Here is a 21,653-nt window from a genome sequence, read left to right on the forward strand (position 1 = left end):
GGGACAAAGTCCAGTCTCCCAGTCTGTATCTAGGGGCCCTTTGTGCTTCTGCCTCCACCAGCTTTTCCCTCATCCACCCCCACCCTGGGCTCCACCAGCAGGAAGGGCTGTGCAGGCTGAGCCCTGGCGTGAGGACACTTTGGCAGAAGGATTCGGGAGGAGAAGGTCTATCCTGTCTGCACCATGCTGCCGTCCTGGCAGAACTGGCTGCTATTCCACAGTGTGGCCACAGCTCCCTCATGGGTCAGAGGAGGGTGGAGACTCACTTCATCAAAGGGTTCCTAAGGGAATTCTGCAAAACTGCTCTCCCGTGTGGCGCATCCCTGACACTGGCCCATCAGGGCTGGGATCTGCTATTGGCTGAGATGGGGCTATGGAGGGTGTAGAGGAGAGAGACTCTCTCCTCAGCTGCCCTGGGCCCCCCTTTCTCCTGCTGTGATCCCAGAAACCCTGTGGGCCAGCTTCCCATGGCCCTGCCAGCAATGGTAGTGAGTGGCCAGTCCTGATCTTTACACTTCTCCTGGGCTGGCCAGAGGACTGTCTTTGGTCCTTATTCAGGAATTGATGGGATTTGAGGTGACTGGCAGCTGGTGGGCAGGAGTGGCCCAAGATCACTCCTCTAGGAAGTGGCAGAGCCAAGCATGCCAGCCCTTCCCGCTGCCCTTCCAGGCCCCTCCTAGTGACTCCAGGTCCCCCGTCCATAGCCCCTCGCCAGCTTCCCAGCTGCTGCCCCCTGCCCTGCTCCTGTGTGCGGCCCCTGCCTCTGCATAGAAGCCGCTGGCGCAGGAGACACAAAAGGGATTGCCACCCATGGAGAAACCATGGAGCTAGTTTCTAAGGCTCTGTGGTTAATTATCTTGTCTCAGGGAAATGAAAGGAGGGTAAATAAGCAACAACACATTAATTAGTCTGATCTACACTTTCCCATGAAAGAGGAGAACTACAGTTAAACATTAGAGGCTGGTAACTTTTCAGAGAAACCCCCAAGTCCTCAGAGAGGTGGCCAAGGCAGGACATGCTCCCTGGCCCGGGCCTGCTGCGTGGTGGTGCTCAGCCGCACTGGTGCCTGTCCCCTTCCTGTTGCCTGCGCTCCTTTGGCCTAGTTGGGCCATTGAGTGGGCCCAGGCCAGAGTCTGTCTCCAGGTGGGGGACTCCATGCCCCCGCTCTCTGCTTCCATGTCCCTGGACTGGCAAGTTTGCCAAGTAGAGTCCACTGTGGGCCCCTCTGAGGGGACTGGCAGGACCCCCAAAGGCCTTGAGGGCTGAGTTTTTGCAGCTCAACCTCAGACTGCATTGTTCCCCCAGGGCTCCTTATTTTGAAGTCCACAGTTATCCATGGATTTGTCCCCTTTGCGAATCCTGGTATGTAGCTTCTGAGGTTGCCCAGAATGACATCCCCCAACACCATGCTCTCCAGACCTGAGTTGGAGTCCCGTTGTCTCCAGGTCGTCATAGGTCCTGGCAGGCCCCATGGTCACTCCTGAGCCCTGGGGTCAGTGTGGGAGGCCACACAGTACCCCAAGGCTGGGCTCCTGGGAGTCAGCCCCGACCTAGAAAAGGAGACTTTAGACCTGCCCCTGGCCCTCGGCTTCACCGGCCACTGCTTAGCTTGGGCTTGGGACTCAGGGTGACCTGAGTGCAACCCTGCACTAGTCAGGACTTTCTACCTCCCAGGATGATCATAAGGACAGAAAGGAACCAGGCTAGAGACCTGGCCAGGCCCTGCTTCCTTCCCTACCCGCTCCTGGTAGGACCTCCCGACCACTCCTCCCCTGAGGGTCAGCCCTTGTGTGCCCTGTTTGCTCTCCCCAGCCTGGTGTCCTGGGCACGGTTCTGGGGGTCACTGGAGCCCACCCACAGAAGTCCCAGGATCCTGACTGTCCCAGAGCGCCTTCAGGAGCCTCAGAGACATCAGCCACACTGCCTAGGCTGGAGCTGCTGGACTTCACTAGCTTGTGGCTGTTCCCTGCAGTGGGGACTGGGCTGCAGGGAGCAGAGAGCTCCATGGTTTGCAGGTTGACCCAAGCAGGAGGAGAACTTGCCCTGGGACTTTGGGAGCCCAGAAAACCCCAAGTCCAGCTGTGAGGGGATGAGGGGAAGAAGTGAACAAGTCCTGGGCAGGACCCAGGTGGCCACAGCCCCAGCCGCTCCTGGTGGGTGTGTGGCATTGACAGCCGGCAGCCCCAGACTGCGGCTGCTCCTGCGAGTGACTGATAATTTGTAGTCAATCTGCAGCCATGAGACCCCTGTTGCTGACATATGACCTGAGGCATCACGGCACGGACAGTGGGAGACTATGGCTGCTCAGAGGCCTGCACTGAGCCAGAGCCCCCCTCCCTAGACACTGGCCTGAGGGCTCAGGGGGCAGCTGATCTGCCATCACCAGCGGAGGGTGATCCCAGGAATAAGGCCTAGCCAGGCTGGTCCTGTCTGGACAAGCCATGGTGGCCAGGACCTCTGCTACTGGACGTCAAATACCACCAGCACCAAGACAGTCATCCCATTTCCCAACTCCCTGGCAATAGACATGCAGGTGTAATGGCACACTGGCTCTGCTTGCACAGTGGTGCAAAGGGTCCTAGGTGGATCCTGGCTTTGAATTTGAATTTCTCTGGTGGTGGGAAAGTGAACAAGCCAGACCAGTTCTGCTGGTAAGGCAAGCCCTGGCCCCTGTGAGGAAGCCTACAGCATTTTCTAGGGATCTCTGAGCCCGGGGGAGCTTCTGGAAAATTGAGTAGGTTTGGGAGTTGCCCCACTTTGGCGCTAGGATGAGGCCTGTCTCCCCTCCACTGCCCTTTCCTCTGGCTCATGTGCTTGCTGACACTGCTCTTCCCGGCAGCAGGGCTGGGAGTCCCAGAGCAGAGAGGCCTCCTCTGAGTCCCTGCCGTGTCCACAAGCTCATGTCTAAACAGGAGCTATGCCAAGCCCCTGGTTTCCGCAGGAAAAGCCACGTGGATTGCTCCAATCCAATTACCCAAGGTGCCTGCATCCGCCTGTGGCACTGAGCTCAGGCCGGGCCATTTCTGCCTGGATGCATGCTGCAGAGGAGTTGGCATGGCAACATGAGCTCTGAGCTGCTGAAACTTAAGTCAACTCGTGGCTGGGAGGACAGAAAGACAGAAGCGGATGCCTTTCTGAGTGATGCAGGTTGGACACATCCACGCTAATTCCCGAAAGCCACATCCCAGGTAGAATTGGGGTCTGGGGTCTGGCAAGAACATGTGTGCTGTGGCAGCGGCTCCTACAGACACAGGTGTGCCAGGTAAATGCCTGTTCATCCATCTAGATCCAAAGCACCTGCCTCCTTCTCCCTGCAGTCCTCCCTGACCTGCACACCCCCCCACCCCCTCAGTCTGTCACTCTAATCAGGCACGTGTCTGTTTGCACGTCCTGGATGGAGCTCCAAGTCTCGGCACCACCACAAGCCTGAAGCCCACCCTGCTGCACTCCACAGGGAGGGCAGTGAGCCACCCAGGCCACTCAGCACCAGCCCTCCTGACCTGGAAGGTCACACAACCCAGCTAGACTACCCTAAGCTCTCCCTGGAACCCTTACTGGGCCCTTTAGGAAAGAGGCCTGCATTTTATCTGAGATGGAAGGTTAGGAACCTGAAGCTTCTGGAACCTTCTTTGAGAATGAATCCAATTCAGAGGAAAACAGACCTTAGGGCTGGAAGGAAAGAGACCAAGTCCTAGAGACATCGTTGAGCTCTGATCTCCCCGCACCCAAAGCCAGCACAACCCACAGACTTTCCAATTAATGATTCAGCAGTTCCCCTTTTCCTTGCTCTAGTCCCTTTGAGTTGGTTTCTGGCATTTGCCACCAAATGGATCCTGTCTCAGATACAGCTATGTGATCTTTCTAAAATGCGATTCTATCAGGTCCTCTCCTGTGCAAACCTCCTGTGGCTCCCCGTTGACGTCCCACTGGGAAAAGTGGAGGCTCCCCTGAGTCCTGGGAGGCCCTGCAGAACCTGGTGCCTCTGGCCTGTGCCTTATCGGCATCCCTTGGGAGACCACAGTGGAGCAGATGCTGGGAGCACAAACTCTGGTGTTGGACATGCAGGGCCAGGTCGACCTGCTGGATATTGGACAGGCTGCTCAACTGACTGTGCCTTAGTTTCCTCACATGTTAAGCCTTGGTAATAACCGTCTCTCAGGGTAGTTGCAGATGGTGCACGTGCAGCACCGAGTGTGGTGCCTGCCTCATCTCTAGGACGCTTATTTTTATCATTTTGCTATCACTGTTAATTCCCTTGCTGCAAAGTCCTGAAGATACAGCCGGAGCCTTCAAAGTCTCCTCCTCTTGAGGCTGGTTTGCCTTACAAAGAGGGTTCTCTGCTCTCCCAGGTGCATGGCGAGGACAGTGCAGGGGACGACGTCAGGGCCTCCGTCTCCTCGCAGGAGGTTATCAGAGCCATCTGTTGTGGGCTGCTTGTGCGAGCCCAAGGCACAGGCTTCTGCAGAAGCCAGGTGCAGGCAAAGGGGCCATACAATTTTCAAAAAGAAACTTTTCACAGGAGGTATTACTGCACCGTGTGATTTCTGAGAATAGGAACAGGCTGTGAGCAGCTCTGGGGCACTCCTTCAACCAGCCAGCCTCGGCATTTCCCTGGCGAAGTCAGAAAGCCCAGATGAAGCCAACTCGGGCGTGACTGGAAAGCAAATCTCAAGCCAGGTGAGTGGTGCACGTCCTAGAGGTGCAAGAGCCAACGTGATGTTTCAAACAGCAGGACCCCTGGGTCCAGGCCCTTGTGCCACGGTGACATGGGCAGTTGCCCTGGAGGCATGGGCCCCATCCTAGGGGGACAGCTGAGTTTGAAGACCTGACTGCCCACTCTCTACCACCTGTCACTCCAAAGTCATCTATTAGTGACCACAAAGGGTGCCAGCAAGGAGAAGGCTGGATGGAGGCTGGCACCTAGACCCACGTCTGAGCCACACCAGGCAGCACCTCCTCTCATTCCTGTGTTCTGCTCACAAACCAGCCTGACAACCAGACTTATCTGCCAGAGTTTGCAAGGGCAGAAGCCCGCAGGGCTCCCGCCAGTCCTATGCCCTCATGGAGGCTGAGCCCAAGACAGAGAGGAGGCCAGGGGCAAAGTCTTGCTTCAGGATGAAGATGGGGAACCTCCTCCACCTGAGGCAGCTCCGGGGCCGAACTGGAGCAATCACAGGCCACAGCTGAGCATCTAGCCAGGCAAGGCCTCCAACCTCAAGTGCTCTGAGCCTGCCTGGGTGCTGAGGCCTGTGCCTGGGCTGGGCCTTGCAAGTCACCAAAGCAAGGGATCCTGGAACACCAAAGCAGGTCACGTCACCTGCTCCCGGCTGACCAGCGCCACCTGCATCCTCAGGAGGCCCTCTGCCCTCAGCACCACCTCTGCCCTTCATAGGAAGGAGACCAGGAGGGCCTTGCTTCTCTCAGGTTCTGCTGTTGAGATTTCTGTCCCAGCCAAGTCCCTACTTCCCTGACATGAAGGCTGATGTTAATGGTTCATGAGCCTAACAAGGCTTGGAATATGCTTTACTTAAGAGGGGATGACAGCATACTGTCTGTGGGAGTAGAATTTTAAACACAAGTCCACACAAATGTTAGGATTTAGGCAGACCCTGTGTCGGCTGCATTTCAAGTACAGCATTTCCTTCTGGAACGGATTGGCCGACTACACGATGTGTAGGCATTTCAAGGCACCAGAGAACACAGATTAAGACGACAAACCTTCCTAAAACAGAACAGACGGGCTAACATTCTTCGGAAGGGAATCATTTCACATTCAGTCTAAAGTTTTCTATGCAAAGAACATTTAACAAACTGAGTCCTAGAGGAAAATTTATGCAGACCTTAAGAAGCAAGTGAGTGAGAATGAGTAAATAAAATCAGGTGTCAGCATTTCACTCACCCTCCCAGGCGGCTGGGCTTTTTGGACTGGGGCAAGGCCTCACTGCTGAGGGTTGAGGCCCCGTCCTGGACCCTTTTGGAGACCTCTAACCCCAGGCCACTGCTCTACACATGGCACCATGAAAGACCATCCCTCTGCACACGGCACCATGAAAGCCCTTGGATCCAAGAGAACCAGCCAGAACACCCTCCCCTTTGAGAGAGGATGCCCCAGCTCAGGCCCAACCAAGGGCTGCTGTACATCTGATAAGGGGAGACCAGAGCTCTTTTCCCTTTAGTTTACCTCTGCTTCCAAGCCCGAGACAGGACTCTTGCCTCACTTCCTCTGGCCCCTGGAGCACCTGGAACCTGATGTCCAGCCAAGAGGTAGGACTGCACTTCCTGGTCCTCTGGCGGTTGGGTGGGATCACGTGATGAGTTCTGACCAATGAGCTGTGAGTGAAAGTGATCTCGGGTATTGCTGCGCTTAAGTACTTAAACGGTAGATGTGGAACCTTCCAGAGCTCTCTCCCTCTGCCACATTGACCTGCAGTGTTGGAGATGGTGGCTGCTCCGTCAGCCTCAGTCCAGGGTGAAGAGACATGGAGCAGGGCCCCAGCTAACCCACATGTAGTGTGGGCAAGAAGAAAACCTTTGATTATAACCACCGCATGACCCATCCCATCCTGACCAATAGAGGACAGCTTCTGATTGGCTGTGTAATTAGTCCACTTACTTGATGCTGAAAACAAGCCTCATTACGGACAGCTTGCAGTTTCTCAAGAATACAGCCAGATCTACCCTCCAATCCAATCCAACTCTTCCTGCTCTCAAGGATAATGAAACAATAATGATGTTCCTTTGTCCTGAATCCAGGCCAGGCGGTAGGCTCACTCCTCACCTCCTCAGTGTGGCCTAAAAAAGTCCATTCCTACCTGTCCAAGTTCTTCTAGCACCATGAAGCATCAGGGGAGCTGAGTCTTAATCTTTTAATTTGTAGTAGAAACTTTCTGCTCAGAGAAGCGGTTGCTTTGGTGACACAGGTAGCACAGTAAATCCGTAGACGTGGAGAAGTAAATCCACCGGAAACCTCTGCCAGGGGTCAGGGTATGGGTTGGTCACAGGGTCCAAGTGAGCCCTGTAGGGGAGGGGCAGGAGGCAACACTGGGGATCCTTTAAGGTGGGCTCAGATAGAGACAAAGCCCAGAGGCCCAGCTTGGCGAGACACTGCCAGGTGTGGCTAGCTGACAGTGCACCCAGGGCTGGCAGGGGCAGGCTGGGCAGCAGCTGTTAAGCAGGGAGGCTGGGGGCACTGGGCGAGTCAGATGCAGCATAGTGGCTGCTCAGGGTATTGCACGGCAAGGGCCTAGGGTTTCTGGCAGCAGAGACTTTGCCTCCTAGTTGTGTATAGTTAAGGGTGGGGTGTCCCCGAGGGAGGGTGTGGAGATAGGAAGGTGGTGGGTATTGGGTGGAGCAAGCCGTGAGCAAGGGAGGAACAGGTGTGGTGGTGGGACAGAAAGGGAACTGAGAGTGGACTCAGGGAGGTGGAGCCACTTAGGGAATCCTGCCTTGCCAGGGCCATGCCTTTGAGGACCATAATGACTACCAGATCACTGACTGCAGACAAGGAGGCATCCTCCAGGAGGGGCAGCTGGGGAACACGGGCCTGAGGGGAGGATCCCCTGCATTCACTTAGTTTGCCCCCAGTTAGTTTTTTTGTTTGTTTTGTTTTGTTTTGTTTTTTGTTTTGGAGATGGAGTCTCGCTCTGTCGCCCAGGCTGGAGTGCAATGGTGCAATCTCTGCTCACTGCAACCTCCACCCCCCACTGGGCTCAAGCGATTCTCCTGCCTCGGCCTCCCGAGTATCTGGGATTACAGGCATGTGCCAGCTAATTTTTTTTGTATTTTTAGTAGAGATCGGGTTCCACCATGTTGGCCAGGCTGGTCTCGAATTCCTGACCCCAGGTGATCCACCCGCCTCAGCCTCCCAAAGTGCTGGGATTACAGGCTTGAGCCACTGCGCCCAGCCAGGTTTGTTTAACTTAAATGCTTAGCCTGTCCGGATAGCATCCCACCTACACTGTGCAGAGCAAGCTGGCTCAAGTCATCCCTTCTGCTCAGAGCATGCTGGCTGCATCTGTCCTGAACTCCAGGAGGGCTGAGTGGCCCTCTGGCTGGTTGGGGGTCTGGATGGCAACCCACCTGAGGCTGCCTGCCCTCCCCCGCACACCACAAGAGAAAAGGAAGACAGAGTGTCTCACTAGACTTTCTTGGTAAAGTTTTGGAAAGAAAACGTCCAGAACAGAGGTCAGCACCTCTGAGAAAACAGTCCATGCAGTTTCAACCAGATTGGCCTTAGGAAATAGGCCCAACCGGAGGTGTAAGAGGCTCATTCCTCATCTGTTCTCCACTTGCTGCCCCTTGGTCCTGGCGCCATCCTCTTGCTCCCCGCACCATGGGACTGCTCCTTCTCAGGGCCCTTGGAGGATCCCTCAGAGCCCCTTCCCTGCCCACTTCCTAGGGGCTGGACTTTCTCTTGCCTCTTCCCTCCCTTCTCGGCTGATCCCTTGTGGGTTACCTGTTTCCAGGTGACAGCCAGCCCAGGTATCTCCTGATCTCTGACCACATGTATTTGATTGACAACTCTACATCTTCCTCTAGAAGTTTATTACTCCTCCTCCCCCCACTTCCCCACATACAATTCTGTCTCCCAAATAGTTCTGGGCCCTGGACCTCTTCCATACCCTGTCTCCTCTTCCCAGCTCACAATTCTGCCCCCTAGTCCCCTGGATCCATTCCCACAGCCATATCCCAGTTCAGGCCTCGCCCTCTCCAACCTAGACACTGTAACAGATTCCACCTTGTCTCCCTCCTCTGGCCCACCTGGCAGCTGGTGGGGTCTTTCTAAACTACACATCATACCACACTGCTCCCCTATGGCCCTTCAGTAGTGCCTGCGGACTCCAGGAGGTTGCCCAGGCACCTAGGCAGGGAAGGGCAGGCTATATCTGGTGGCCTGATTCCTCTGTCTCCTCTTGCTCCTGGAGCTCCAGGGGCCCTGACCCGAGCAGTCCCCCACTGTGCCCTTCCAGGCCTCCACACTTCTGTTGGGGCTGTTCCCTGACAGCCGTCATCTGTGTGAAGGAACATGGCCTCAGCAGAGGAACTCAGGGTTCAAGATTCACAGAGAAGATCCCTTCATCAAAACTCAGCCAGTCCACCCATGGCCCCTGGGATAACTAGAGGACCTTAGGCTGAGGCCAAACAGGCCCTTTCTCTCTTGATAGCTGAGTGTTTCTGTGCATGTATTGCACAAGCTTGCAGTCTGCATACTAGAAAGGGAGGTAACCAGCCCCTGATAGATCTGACACCTTCAGATCTATCAAGCTAAAAACAGAACTGAGAGACAGGAGGCTCAAGCTATGTCAGCAAATTCCATCCTTCAAAGCAGAAGGAGGGACGGCCTTGTGTGTGTGACTCTGTGGGTTGTCTCTGCAGGACCAGGGACCCTGCCCATGTGGAGCCCTGGGGTTGGGGGGTAAGGTGCTCCCCCACCATCCCAACTTCCAGTCCCAGGGAATGAGGGTTCTGTTTTCTAACTCTGAGGCCAGATGAAGAGAACAAAGCTTGTGCCCCCCACTCCCCCCGCAAGCACTCAGTATTTTATTCCATCACCTGACCCTAGCTGTGTGTAGAGTAGGAAGGTAATAGGAACCCCTGCCGACTGAGAACAAGTGGCAGCCCTGCCCCCTGCTGACCTGGAGCTGCAGCCAGAATGGCCTCATCTGAGGCCACCTGCGGCCTGCTTGGGACCTCAAACTCATTCCCTCCCTTCCTTCCTTTCTCTTTCCCTCCTGAAGCGGGGACACAGCTATGAGCCAGTCCATGGCAAAGACAAGAGGGAGATTGGACATGAGCATCAGAATTGCAGAAGTAACAGCCGCCTCTTGGGGATATCAGAGAAGGCGTCACCCAGCACCTCAGAGAATATGCTTTTCACACTGGGGGTGCATTTATACTGCACAACTACCCCAAATGGGTACAGCTGGCCCCACTTACAGATGAGGAGACGGAGACTCAGAGAAGTAAATGGCAGTCCCTGAGAGGTGCAGCCAAGTCACCTGACTCCAATTTCCTTTTTCTCTCTACTTTTCTTGCCAAGGCTGATATAAGTGATATGCAAACATATCCAGAAATATGTAAATGAGCAGCATCCAGCACCACCCTTACTTCCAGGACACGTTCTGGGGGAAGAGTAACATTCCCTACACTGTCCTTCTTGTCGATCCCCCTCGATTCCCACAAAACAAGACCTTTGCCTCTTTTTTCAGTCCCCTGAAGGTTACATTTGTCACCCACCCCCACTGAGCCATTGGTGAAAACTCCAACGATCTTCTTCCTCCCTCCCTGCGAGCTGCTGGTCTCATCTATTTCCCCTTTTTTTCTTCCATCCAGTCACCACCACCTTGGATCCCCAAATCTCCCTGCCCCCAGCCTGGTGACCACCCTGGCAACCCTGACAACGCTTAATTTGTCAATATTTGAGAAGGAGTGGGCTCTTACAGTAGTCTTGTTTTCGCTCCTAGTCTGAGGTTCCTGACTGTCAGGGGTCACTAGTTTCTGCTTTTGTTCCTGAGAATGGGCCAGTAGTCTGAATTACTTCTTTGGGATGGATTCAAGAGTAGAATTACTCAGTAAACTTTAACGCTTCTGATACATATTGCCAAACTGCTTTCTACCAAGGTTCTGTCAATTTACTGATTGTTTGAGAATATGTGTTTCACAACATCCTTACCAACTCTGGGTTTTAACATTAAAAAATGTGATTTTTGGCTGGGCACAGTGGCTTGTGCCTGTAGTCCTAGCACATTGGGAGGCCAAGGCGGGCAGATCGCTTGAGCCCAGGAGTTGGAGACCAGCTAAGGCAACATGGCGACACCAGGCTCTGCAGAAAACACAAAAATTAGCCAGGCGTGGTGGTGTGTACTTGTAGTTCCAGCTACTCAGGAGGCTGAGGTGAGAGGAACACTTGAGCCCGGGAAGTAGAGATTGCAGTGAGCTGAGATTGCACCACTGCACTCCAGCCCCAGAGACAGACGGGTCTCAAAAAAAAAAAAAAAAGTTTTTGATAGTTTAGTGGGCAGTGGTATCTGGTTACATTTTTCAGGATGCTTAATTTGGATTCCTTTTATGAAGTGCTGCTTCAAATCCTTTTCCCATATATTGAGGGAGTTATTGTTTTCTCCATAGATTGGGTGTATTGCACTCCGCTTGAGTCAGGTTCAGGATGGGACCCAGATGGCCAGCTCCAAATTGCTTACCCCAGAGCTGTGGTTTTCAAACATTTTAACAGGCGGGAGAGCCTTTTCCTAATCTCACACAGCATCTCTTTATAAAAATACTAACAAGTAGCCCATGAGGAAAGGCTTGGAGCGCTCCCTTCCCCACCCCCACCCCACCCCTCTGGTTCCAGAAGCCTTGGTTTTACCTGAGGAGGGGCCACTGGGACCTTGTTGTCCTTCTCTCTGAAGAAGAGCTGTCACCGCAGACCTGAAAGGAGATGAGCAGTTCACAGGGGTGCCCGGAACAATCTCCAGAGCTCACCTGACAGCCACCGAGCAGCCCAGAACAGGTGAGCCAGGTACAAAGACCAAGGGGCCTCACCTGCGGCCAGAGGCACTGCCACACCCTCCACGTCGCCAGGGCGAGGGTGTGTGCCCGGCAGTTCCAGTGGACGAAGTGCAGTCCCAGTGGGTGGGGCCCGAGGTTTGTGTGACAGATTTTCAAGGAGGAGGGTTGCCAAGAGGAGAGGACTCTGAGGGTGGGATGGATGAGCCCTCCACGTCGACACTGGGACCCAGGCCAGGCGCAGGGGGTGCGGGGTGAAGGTGGAGGGTGGGGAAGAGGTGAATTCAAAAGCTCCAGCTGCAGGGCCCAGGTTTAATCTGATAGTTAGAACCAGAACAATCAGAGCTTTGGGAGCTTTGTGCAATCTCTGCTTCCCTAAGATACTGAGGGTAGGGGAGAGCTGAACCCAGGCCAGGGAAGAGGGACAGTGGCCACCAGGATGGGGTGGATTAGGGGAGGAAGAGCAACATTGAGAGGAACCAAAGGGATTTGGTGGCTCCCCCCTTATCTAAGGGGGAGCAGGTCAGTGGAAGGGAGGCTCAGTGGGACACTTTGTGAACCCAGCGGGGTCTTTGGAGGAGACAGCTGGGAGGGAACTCATGTGAACCTAGGCCTTTGGACACGATGTCACTGGCTCCCCTTGCTGACTGAGGTGAGGGATCCTGGCACTATGCTCTGGGGACACTGCCCTCCACACTTGGGCCCCAGTCCCAGTTTGTAGTCCCCGCCCTTGCCCACTAGTCCCGCCCCTGGCCTTAGGTGCTGGCCCCGCCCCTGATCCCTGGCCCCAGGCAGCTCTCTGAGCCCGTTGGCCCAGTCCCAGGCCTTGTCCCTACTAATCTGCCGAATCCTTGGCTCCGGGGCCCGCCCCCTGTCTCAGGCCCAGTCTCTGCTTTCAAGTTCAGCAGCCCCCTGCCCAATGCCCAGCACAGCCAGGGCTGTCCTTGCATGCTCCACCTTCTTAAGCCCGTCCCATGGCCCGGCCCAAAGCCCTCTTACCACCCCTCCATTCAGAGTAGGGTGACCTATCACTCTTCACACCGCATCCCTTAGGTACACTTATTTTGCAAATCACCCAAACTAAGTGTTTCAGAAGAATCTGAAAGCCAAGGCCCCGTCCATTCTCTGTCCCCTAACTGAAGATGTAGCAGCAGTGCTGGCAGGAGCGCCTCCTCTGCGGCAAACAATTGGCTCCCTTCTCACTAGGAATTTGCACAGAAAAGGCTTGGGCTCTAATGAGACCCGGTTCTGGTCTAGGCCATCGGTCTTGGGCAAGTCATTTAACTTCTGAGCCTCAGAGGCTCCCTCCTCTGTAACATTAGGGGCCACTACAAGATCCTGGATGGCCACGGCCAGGACCAAATGAGCACCGGCACTTGATATTGCCAGATCAGAGTGGGAAGAAGGAAGCCAGAGCCCCCCAGGTCTATGCTCTGCACGTGGTGACCTGGCTTCCCCAGGAGCCCTTATGTTCATGTGGACACCCTGGCTTTTGCCCTCAGAGCCAAGTACCTGGCAGGATCCCTCCCCACCCATAGCCTGGGGAGTCCAGCCTGCCGGGAAGCAGAGGGTGACCTGCTGTCCCGGCCTGTCCTCTGTCCCTGGGACTCCTGCCTCTTCACCCACAGTTGGCTGACAACCTGCATGCACCTCTGTCCTTCACCCTCTTGCTGGGCTGACCTGACCCAGGCCACAGGCTCACAAGCATCTGGCATTAGACATAAAGGAGGCAGGCCACTCCTGAGCCATTTGGGCCTGTGTGACTCCCAGCCCCCACTGCCCTCTCTCTAAGTGGGGAGGAGCTCACCTCTCATCCCTGAGTGAGAAGTTTGTCAAGCAGGATCTTTGGCCTCTGACATTTCCCAAACTGTCCCCCACCAGCTGCACAGCCCCCTCCCCACTCTCCACCCCACTCCCATGCCCCACCAACTCTTCTGAAAAATCCCTGCATGTTTTTTTCAAAATAGAATTAAATGACAAGAACTGACTATTTAGGGAGGGGTTCCTGAGGGGAAATGGAATCTCGACAACCTTGAAATTATAGGCCCTTCTCTTTTCTCAAAGAAAAAAGAAACATGTCAGATCATTGATATTCTGAGCCAGGCCTTGTTTTGAAATATGCTGTCCCCCTATCCTTTCACGAACCACAGACTTTTTCCCTCTTTGAGAATAAGATCACATCAAGTCAGGGATTAGAAATGGGAAAAATTCAATCAGAGCCTCCCTCTGCCAGCTACCCATCTCAATATACTCCCAGGCAAGCAGAATCAGCTCCTGCCTCCAACCCTGCTCAGCATCATCATTCAAAACGCACCGGTAGGAAATGGTGAAACAGAAGAACCTTTCATCCCGGCTGAGCAGGGCCTGCAATGCTGCTCTCCTGGCTCTGGCAGCTGGCTTGTGCCTGGGCCGAGTCAGGCCTCTGGCTTAAATAGGCAGTAGGAGCAGAGCAGGGAGGGCCTGGGGGGCGGGTGTGGAAAGTGGGCCGTTTACCTAGCACAGCAAGGCAGTGTCTGGAGCCAGCAGTGGTCCCAAGCACGCTCCTGCCTGCCTGCCTGTCCACCAGGAGGCCTCAATCCCACAGGCCCCAAGACCACAGACCAGTACCTGGGGTGACCCCTGATGGATGTGCAGCTCCACGGGAGATGTCCCTAGATGCACTGAGCTTGGTCAGTTTCCTGGATACCTCCACCTTTCCTTTGTAGCAGAACCAGCTGTGGAGATGGATGGACCTGTTCCCTGGGGCCTCTCTCCAAGCCTCAGTTGCTGCCTTCTTAAAATGAGGATAACACTGACTTCACAGGTCCAGAAATAATGTTTGCAAAGGGCACCTAGGAGGTTGATTTATTTACCCACATGGTGATACTGGGGCCAGGTACCTTCGATGAGGCTGGAGCCTAGAGGTTTAGTAATGTACCCAAAGTCACACAGCCTTCCATCTGACTGTCAGTGTCAGACCTCATGCAGACCTGGGGCCTCCCAGCCTCATGCTACAGTTGAAGTTTGGGGTGAGTGAGAGTGAAGAGCAGCTGCTCACCTTGGGGAAAAATCTTGACTGAACCCTAGTGAAGGGGTTACCTTTAAGTCCCCAGTGTTATGGGAAAGGGGTCCTGATCCAGACCTCAAGAAAGGGTTCTGGGACCTTGCACAGGAAAGAGTTCAGGGTGAGTCCACACAGTAAAGTGAAAGCAAGTTCATTAGAGAAGAAACAGAAGGATGGCTACCTCATTGACAGAGCAGCCCAGAGGGTGCTGGTTGGCTATTTTTATGGTTATTTCTTGATCGTGTGCTAAACGAGGGGTGGATTATTTATGCGTTTTCCAGGAAGGGGGTGGGCAATTCCTGAAACTGAGGGTTCCTCTCCTTTTTAGACCATATAAAACCAAGGGTGACTTCTGGAACATTGCCCTGGCATTTGTAAACTGTCACGGCGCTGGTGGGAGTGTCTTTTGGCATGCCAATGCATTATAATTAGCATATAATGAGCAGTGAGGACAACCAGGGTTGTTTTGTTCACCATCTTGCTTTTGGCAGGTTTTGGCTAGCTTCTTTACTGCATCCTATTTTCATCAGCGGAGTCTTTGTGACCTGTATCTTGTGCTGACCTCCTATCTCATCCTGTGACTAAGAATGCCTAACCTAGGCTGGATGTGGTGGCTGACGCCTGTAATCCCAGCACTTTGGAGGCTTAGGCAGGCAGATCTCTTGAGCTCAGGAATTTGAAACCAGCCTGGGTAACATGGTGAAACCCTGTCTCTAAAAAATATACAAAAACTAGCTGAGTGTGGTGGTGCATGCCTGTAGTCCCAGCTACTTGCGCTGCTGAAGTGGGAAGATCGCTGGAGCCCAGGAGTTCAAGGCTGCAGTGAGCTGTGATGGCGCCACTGCACTCCAGCTTGGGTGACAAAGTGAGACCTGTCTCAAAATAAACAAACAAAGAATAAGAATTCCTAACCTTCTGGGAATGCAGCCCAGCACGTCTCAGCCTCATTTTACCCAGCACCTATTCAAGATGGAGTTGCCCGGTTCAAACACCTCTGACAACACCACCAAGGCAAGGAGGGTGCCATGGTTGGACAGGCATGGTCAGGCAGCCTGTCTGCATTTGGGTGAGACCCTGGGGGAGAGGTGCAGAAGTATCCCAGAGTAGCTGCTAGGGATGGCTGGTGAGAGGAGCTACCCTTCAAACCTCCTAGATCTCCAAGTAACACTACAGGGTGGTGAGTGGTTGGTTCAACTTGATCTTCCAGTGAGGTGGACAGTGCCCCCACCTCAGTGAACAAAGATTAGGACATAAGCTAATGGGGAATTAAGACAAAGCTGTAGTTCGTCATTTTATGCTTGAAAAAATTCTGCCCTTAAAAGTGCAAGTAACTCTGCTAGTAAATAATTGAAGTCACATGAGGGAGTTGTCTTTAACAGGAAAGTACACATTTTGATTTTGATTAACAAAATGTTAATTCCTCATTTCCCCCAAAGAAGCAGCAAAACAGAGGGCCTGGATCTCTGTTAGTTGGACTCAGAAGGGAGATCAACTTGACTGTAGATACTGAAGAAGATGAAGTTGAAGATATGATTACATATGAAGCCCATTCATCTGCCAGTCATTAATTGTTGTGTATATTGTGGACCTGACATCCTTTCAGAAGTTTGGACTACAAAGGTGGGAGACACACTTGGAAAGACTGTGCACTTCAGAGTCCAATCTAGGTTCAAATCTGGCCCTGGGCAACACTGGGCCTTCACTTAGTCTCTCTGAGCATTGGGTTTCTACTACTTTGCAAGGCTGTTGGGAGAATTAGATGAGATGATATTGGTGACAACTCTTTGTAGGTATTCAGTGATCAGTTATCCATTTGGAAAGATAATTCTACAGGGAGCATGGGGTGGGCAGGAGGGGAGACAAGCAGGAAGGCCAGTGCAGTAGGCAAAGCAGGGAGATGGCAGGGCCAAGGCAGTGGGAAGAGAGAAGGGTCACATATCTGGGGGACATCTAAGAGGGTAGAATGGTGTTATGAACCGAATGTTTGTGTCCCCAACAAATTTATATGTTGAAGCCCTAAACCCACTGTGTGGCTGCATTTGCAGATGGAGGCTCTAAGGAAGTATAGATGGTCTCTGACTTACGATGGTGCGACTTAAGAATTTTCAACTTTTCTTTTTTTCTTTTTTGAGACAAAGTCTCACTCTGTTACCCATACTGGAGTGCAGTGGTGCCATCTTGGCTCACTGCAACCTCCACCTCCCAGGTTCAAGTGGTTCTCGTGCCTCAGCCTCCCGAGTAGGTGGGATTACAGGTGCCCACCATCATGTCCAGCTAATTGTTGTATTTTTAGTAGAGACAGGGTTTCACCACGTGGGCCAGGCCGGCCTCGAAATTCTGACCTCAGGTGATCTGCCCGCCTTGGCCTTCCAGAGTGCTGGGATTACAAGCATAAGCCACTGTGCCTGGCCAAGATTTTTCAACTTTTCAATGGTGCAAAAGTAATAGACATTCCATAGAAATTGTACTTTGAATTTTGACCTTTTCTTTTTATTATTTTAATTTTTTATTATAAAATGTTAGTAGTTATTATAAAACAGACTTTGTTAGATGATTTTGCCCAACTGTAAGCTAATGTGAGTGTTTTGAACATGTTTAATGTAGGCTAGGTTAAGCTATAATGTTTGCTAGTTTAGGTGTATTAAATGCATTTTCAAGGAACTGTATTTTCAACATAGAATGGGCATATAGGGATGTAACCCTGATAAGTTGAGGAGCATTTGTAATCAAGTTTAAAGGTGGTCATAAGGATGGGCCCCTGATCTGATAACATTAGCGTTCTTATAAGAAGAGATGCCAGGCCAGGTGCAGTGGCTCACGCCTGTAATCCTAGCACTTTGGGAGGCCAAGGTAGGAGGATCACCTGAGGCCAAGAGTTAGAGACCAGCCTGGCCAACACGCGAAACTCTGTTTCTACTAAAAAGACAAAAATTAGCCGGGTATGGTGATGTGCGCCTGTAGTCCCAGTTACTCAGGAGGCTGAGGCACACTTGAGCCCAGGAGGCGGAGGTTGCAGTGAGCTGAGATTGCGTGACAGAATGAGACGCTGTCTGGGAAAAAAAAAAAAAAAAAAAAGATGCCAAAGTGCTCACACATACCAAGGAAAAGCCATATGCGGACTTAGTGAGAAGGTGGCTGTCTACAAGCCCGGAAGAGAGCCCTTACCAGAAACTGAATCAGCCAGAACATTGATCTCAGACTTCTAGCCTCTAACCTGTAAGAAACTAAATTTCGGTTGTTTAAGCCACCCAGTCTATGGTATTTTGTTATGGTAGCCCAAACAGACTTATACAAATGGATGGGGACCAAGGGGTACCTGGGTAACATGAAAATGGACCAGGAGGCTGGGCATGGTGGCTCATGCCTGTAATCCCAGAACTTTGGGAGGCCGAGGCAGGCAGATCTCTTGAGGTCAGGAGTTCAAGACCAGCATGGCCAACATGGTAAAACCCCATCTCTAGTAAAAACACAAAAATTAGCTGGGTGTGGTGGTGTGAGTCTGTAGTCCCAGCTACTTAGGAGGCTAAGCCAGGGAATCGCTTGAACCCAGGAGGTCAATGTTGCAGTGAGCTGAGATAGCACCACTGTACTCCAGCCTGGGCGATAGAGCACGAGATTCTGTCTCAAAAACAAAAAAAACAAAAAGGAAAATGGACCAGGAATTTATTCAGAGGTCTCCTGGTTCAGGTAACTGTATGGCTAGTGAAGTTGCTCACTGGCAGTGGGGGTGGGTGAATGGGTGAAGGCAGAGTTTGTGGTGTTGGGGGACATTTGCATAGACATGTCCAGACAGAATTTGGATCTTCAGACCCAGAACTCAGAGTTGAGGTCTGGATTGGAGCAGGTTTGAGAATATTAGAGTGTAGGCGGACTCTTGGGAGTGACTACATTTTGTCAGATCACTTATTCTTTCTTTCTTCTTCAATTGGTCCATTCTAATTCTAATTTCTTGTTATATAAGATAGCTTTTGTCTTTTATATTTTTGTAAAAATCAGATACTCTCCTTTGCTTTAAAAAAGTACAATTGTGCACAACTTTCCCCCAATTTTTAGAAGACTTTGCTTTCCCCTACTTGCAGAGAACAAGTCTTGTTTAGGAGCATAACTGATGTGGTTAGAATCTACTTGTGCAGTCAGAATTGCACAGTTTTTTGAGGCTCATTTTGTCTTTAATATTTGTGATGTCAGTTCTCTTGTCATTCTTACCAATTTCAGAAGAACATATCTCCCTTCACTTCAGCTTGTTGGATAATTTATAATTCAAAATTTACACTAGGAAATGCTTATGTCTTTCCCACAGAGTTGAATTTGAAAGGCACAGTGTGTTTTCTTTAGTTCTAGGCTGAGCTGTTTTTTCATTTCTGGAAACTTTTCTTATATTATTTCTTTCCTGATGTCTCCTTTATGTGTTCCTCATCCATTCGTCTCTCTCTTCTAGGCCTACTTTAGGGCTGTGATACCATTTTCCATTTTCCAAATCAGTTATTTTCTCCTCTGTTTTCTTTGTCTACATTTTAGGTTTCATGTCTTACCTTATCCTCAACATCACTAATTTCTTTGTTGTATTTGTTTCTGTTAATGCCAATTACTACTTCCAGGTGTTTTCTAATTCTTTTATAATTTTCACCGTGGAATTACAGCTATTATTTTTTCTGATCTGTTTCTGTCAGTATTTTGTTGTTGTTGTCATTTATTTCTTTCAAAGTAGTTATTATCCAGTTCCTCTTATTTGTTCCTTCAGATTCCATCATTTAAAAAACAAATTAATTGACATTTATTAGGCGCCTACTGCATGCAGACACTGCTGCTCATCATTTAGCACTTGTAGCTGTCTGCTTTCCTTCTAAGTTTAGTGCAGCAGGATTCAGAATTCTTCAGTCACAGCTGCTTTGGGCAGGTTCTGATTATTTATCATTTATTTTCTCTTGTTCCCCAAAAGATTTAAGATAACTTAAACTGTATCCTATGTACAATATGAGACTTTTTTTGCTTGTTTGTTTAAATAGGGAATTAGAGCTAAGGGAAAATAGAAAAAACAAGAGGCCATCAGGCAGAGCTGGAGATACAGAGACAGTGAGTGAGGTGAAATCTCATTCCAATGGTGGCCTCAGGTGGGCACAGAGATGTGTTTTATGACTGAGGCTTGTCCTATTGATTTTTGTTGGTGGTGTTGAATGACCCTTTGTTTTAAATTGTTGCTTGAATGGCTGCAGTGCAGAAGAGGCCCCTGTGGCATCACTCCCTTGGCTAGCCCCCCTGGGTGGGAAATGCTTACATATATATATATCTTTCCTAAGGGGGCTGGAATTGGAAAAAAAAAAAAAAGAGGCAGGATTATAGGTGATAGTGTGGACTGGGGGCACATAAACAGTGTAACAGTGACCCCCAGCCTCATGGCTCACCTTCCAAAAGTCAGTATTGATTGAGCAACTAATTAGCTGTGTATTTCCTGTGCTCAGAATCAGAGATTTTCCCTTTGTTGGGTGGCAACTGTAATCTGGTCGAGAGGAAGGCTTTTCAGGGGCTCTCTGTTCCCACAGAACTCCAGAGTGGCCTCATTTCACACTTCTTGGGAACTAGTTTTTCGAGTGACAGATTGATTGGTGTATGGGTGGTTACCAAAAAAGATTCTATTTTATTAGCTGTTTGTCTTGCAGAGTGAAATAGTTTTTTTAAACTTTATCAAAACGTCATCATCTCCAGGGTTTAAAGCGTGCCCTCTGGCTTTGAGGGAAGATCTCAGTCCCATAGCCGTCATGTCCCAGTTCACCTCAAGCCATTGAGCAATGAGCCTGAGACGGGGCAGGTGAGCTCAGGCCTGTGGCCGCCCTAGCCTGGGCCCACTTAAGGGGTGACCCTGAGTGGCAGCTAGCTGAGCACCAAGGTGACAGACAGCTCTAAATTTCATCCCGGTGCCTAAACTGTCTTAAAAAAATACATCAAGGGAAAAGTAAAATCTAGACATTCCTATACATGAGAGACTATGTGTATAGGTAATGTTGCTTTTCTGTTTGAGAAGGAAATAGAAAACATTTCACTTACTCTTTTTTTTAAATTAAAAATGAGGAATATATCAAACAATAAAAAAGATCTTGGTTTCCTATTGTGGCAGTTAAAGAAGAGAGAAAAACAGACTGAAAGTTGTTGAGGGAAGGCAGGGAGCAGAGTCCTGTCCCAGGGGTGCCTCAACTCAGTGTGCCTGGCCTGGGCGGCCCAGCCCTGCCCTTCCAGCCTCAGCGGGTGTAGCCCCTAGTTGTCTACTCTGTCCTTGGCCCCTCCCTTAGCCCCAAGTGTCCTGTCCAGAGTCAAGGCCAATTACTCCTAGTTCTTGAGTCCATTTCTAGTCCCTACTCCCAACCCCTCCGTGGCTGTCACCGCCACCAGGGCCTCCTCCTGTCTTGCCTGCTTTGAGCCCCTTCCCTCCTAATTGGGCTGAAGCCTGTGATCCCCACCAGCAGCAGCTCTGAGCTCATTCTGCCCTTGTCCAGCATCTCCAGATCTCCCTCTACCCCCAGGATCGATCCTTCTACCTGGCCTGGCTTGAGGACCCCAGTGACCAGGCCCTGCCCTCCTCAGTCTCGTTTCTGCCCCTCTTTCTCCCACTGATTTGATGTGATGGCCCCGACCTCTAGCTTTCACTGTTCCTGGGACATACCATGCTCTTTCACGCCTCCATGCCTTTGCACATGCTGTACCCTGTGTCTGGAACACCCTGGTGGTCCACCTGACACCCCTCCTCCAAGGCTCAGCTCTAAAGCTTCCAACCCCCTCCCCTCAGTCTCACACCCTGGGGCTTTGTACTGGCAGCGTAGAGCCCCCTGAGCTCCAAGCACAGGGCCCAGTCCCTGACAGGCATTCCAGGAACCTCGGTGGAATCAATAAAGTGATTTCTAGCCAGGCGGGCATGTCCATCACCAGAAGGTTCGATTCCCTTTGTACACACCAGGGGGCACAGCAGGAGCTGTGAGAAACTGCTCCCAATTGTTTGAATTATTGCCTCAATGAGGCTACTTTGTGGTAAAACAAAAGAAAACAAAACGAAAATGCAAGATGGAGACTTGAAATTTAAAAGCTGTGTGAACTCACGTGTGTGTTGTGAGTGCCT

The 21,653-nt window shown here is 51.5% G+C and overlaps 1 protein-coding gene across 12 annotated transcripts in view, besides 6 other annotated features; it reads right to left on the reverse strand.

Annotated features, from left to right (window-relative positions):
- Positions 1 to 21,653, reverse strand: part of SMPD3 (sphingomyelin phosphodiesterase 3) — a 90,182-nt gene that overhangs the window by 16,906 nt on the left and 51,623 nt on the right. For 3 of the 12 annotated variants that reach the window (XR_933371.3, XM_047434336.1, XM_011523210.3), the window contains exon 1: positions 11,366 to 11,522. The gene's annotated coding sequence lies outside the window, so the exon portion shown is untranslated. Of the gene's footprint in view, positions 1 to 6,181; positions 7,016 to 11,365; positions 11,523 to 21,653 lie in introns of those variants that run through there. The other 9 variants (XM_011523207.2, XM_047434339.1, XM_017023406.2 and 6 more) reach the window with 9 other exon arrangements.
- Positions 4,301 to 4,803: an enhancer, noted in NCBI's record as "H3K4me1 hESC enhancer chr16:68413436-68413938 (GRCh37/hg19 assembly coordinates)". NCBI's record gives its function as "activates a minimal SCP1, AML or CMV promoter by ChIP-STARR-seq in primed H9 embryonic stem cells {active_cell/tissue: H9 hESC(primed)}" and the evidence as "EXISTENCE:reporter gene assay evidence [ECO:0000049][PMID:30033119]".
- Positions 4,804 to 5,304: an enhancer, noted in NCBI's record as "H3K4me1 hESC enhancer chr16:68413939-68414439 (GRCh37/hg19 assembly coordinates)". NCBI's record gives its function as "activates a minimal SCP1, AML or CMV promoter by ChIP-STARR-seq in primed H9 embryonic stem cells {active_cell/tissue: H9 hESC(primed)}" and the evidence as "EXISTENCE:reporter gene assay evidence [ECO:0000049][PMID:30033119]".
- Positions 6,671 to 7,507: an enhancer, noted in NCBI's record as "H3K4me1 hESC enhancer chr16:68415806-68416642 (GRCh37/hg19 assembly coordinates)". NCBI's record gives its function as "activates a minimal SCP1, AML or CMV promoter by ChIP-STARR-seq in naive H9 embryonic stem cells {active_cell/tissue: H9 hESC(naive)}" and the evidence as "EXISTENCE:reporter gene assay evidence [ECO:0000049][PMID:30033119]".
- Positions 7,508 to 8,342: an enhancer, noted in NCBI's record as "H3K4me1 hESC enhancer chr16:68416643-68417477 (GRCh37/hg19 assembly coordinates)". NCBI's record gives its function as "activates a minimal SCP1, AML or CMV promoter by ChIP-STARR-seq in naive H9 embryonic stem cells {active_cell/tissue: H9 hESC(naive)}" and the evidence as "EXISTENCE:reporter gene assay evidence [ECO:0000049][PMID:30033119]".
- Positions 13,630 to 14,457: an enhancer, noted in NCBI's record as "H3K4me1 hESC enhancer chr16:68422765-68423592 (GRCh37/hg19 assembly coordinates)". NCBI's record gives its function as "activates a minimal SCP1, AML or CMV promoter by ChIP-STARR-seq in naive H9 embryonic stem cells {active_cell/tissue: H9 hESC(naive)}" and the evidence as "EXISTENCE:reporter gene assay evidence [ECO:0000049][PMID:30033119]".
- Positions 15,274 to 15,568: a silencer, noted in NCBI's record as "tiled region #9240; K562 Repressive non-DNase unmatched - State 22:ReprW". NCBI's record gives its function as "represses a minimal TATA promoter and a strong SV40 promoter by Sharpr-MPRA in K562 cells {active_cell/tissue: K562}" and the evidence as "EXISTENCE:reporter gene assay evidence [ECO:0000049][PMID:27701403]".

This window comes from Homo sapiens, chromosome 16 (genome assembly GCF_000001405.40).
Source record: "Homo sapiens chromosome 16, GRCh38.p14 Primary Assembly".
NCBI lineage: Eukaryota > Metazoa > Chordata > Mammalia > Primates > Hominidae > Homo > Homo sapiens.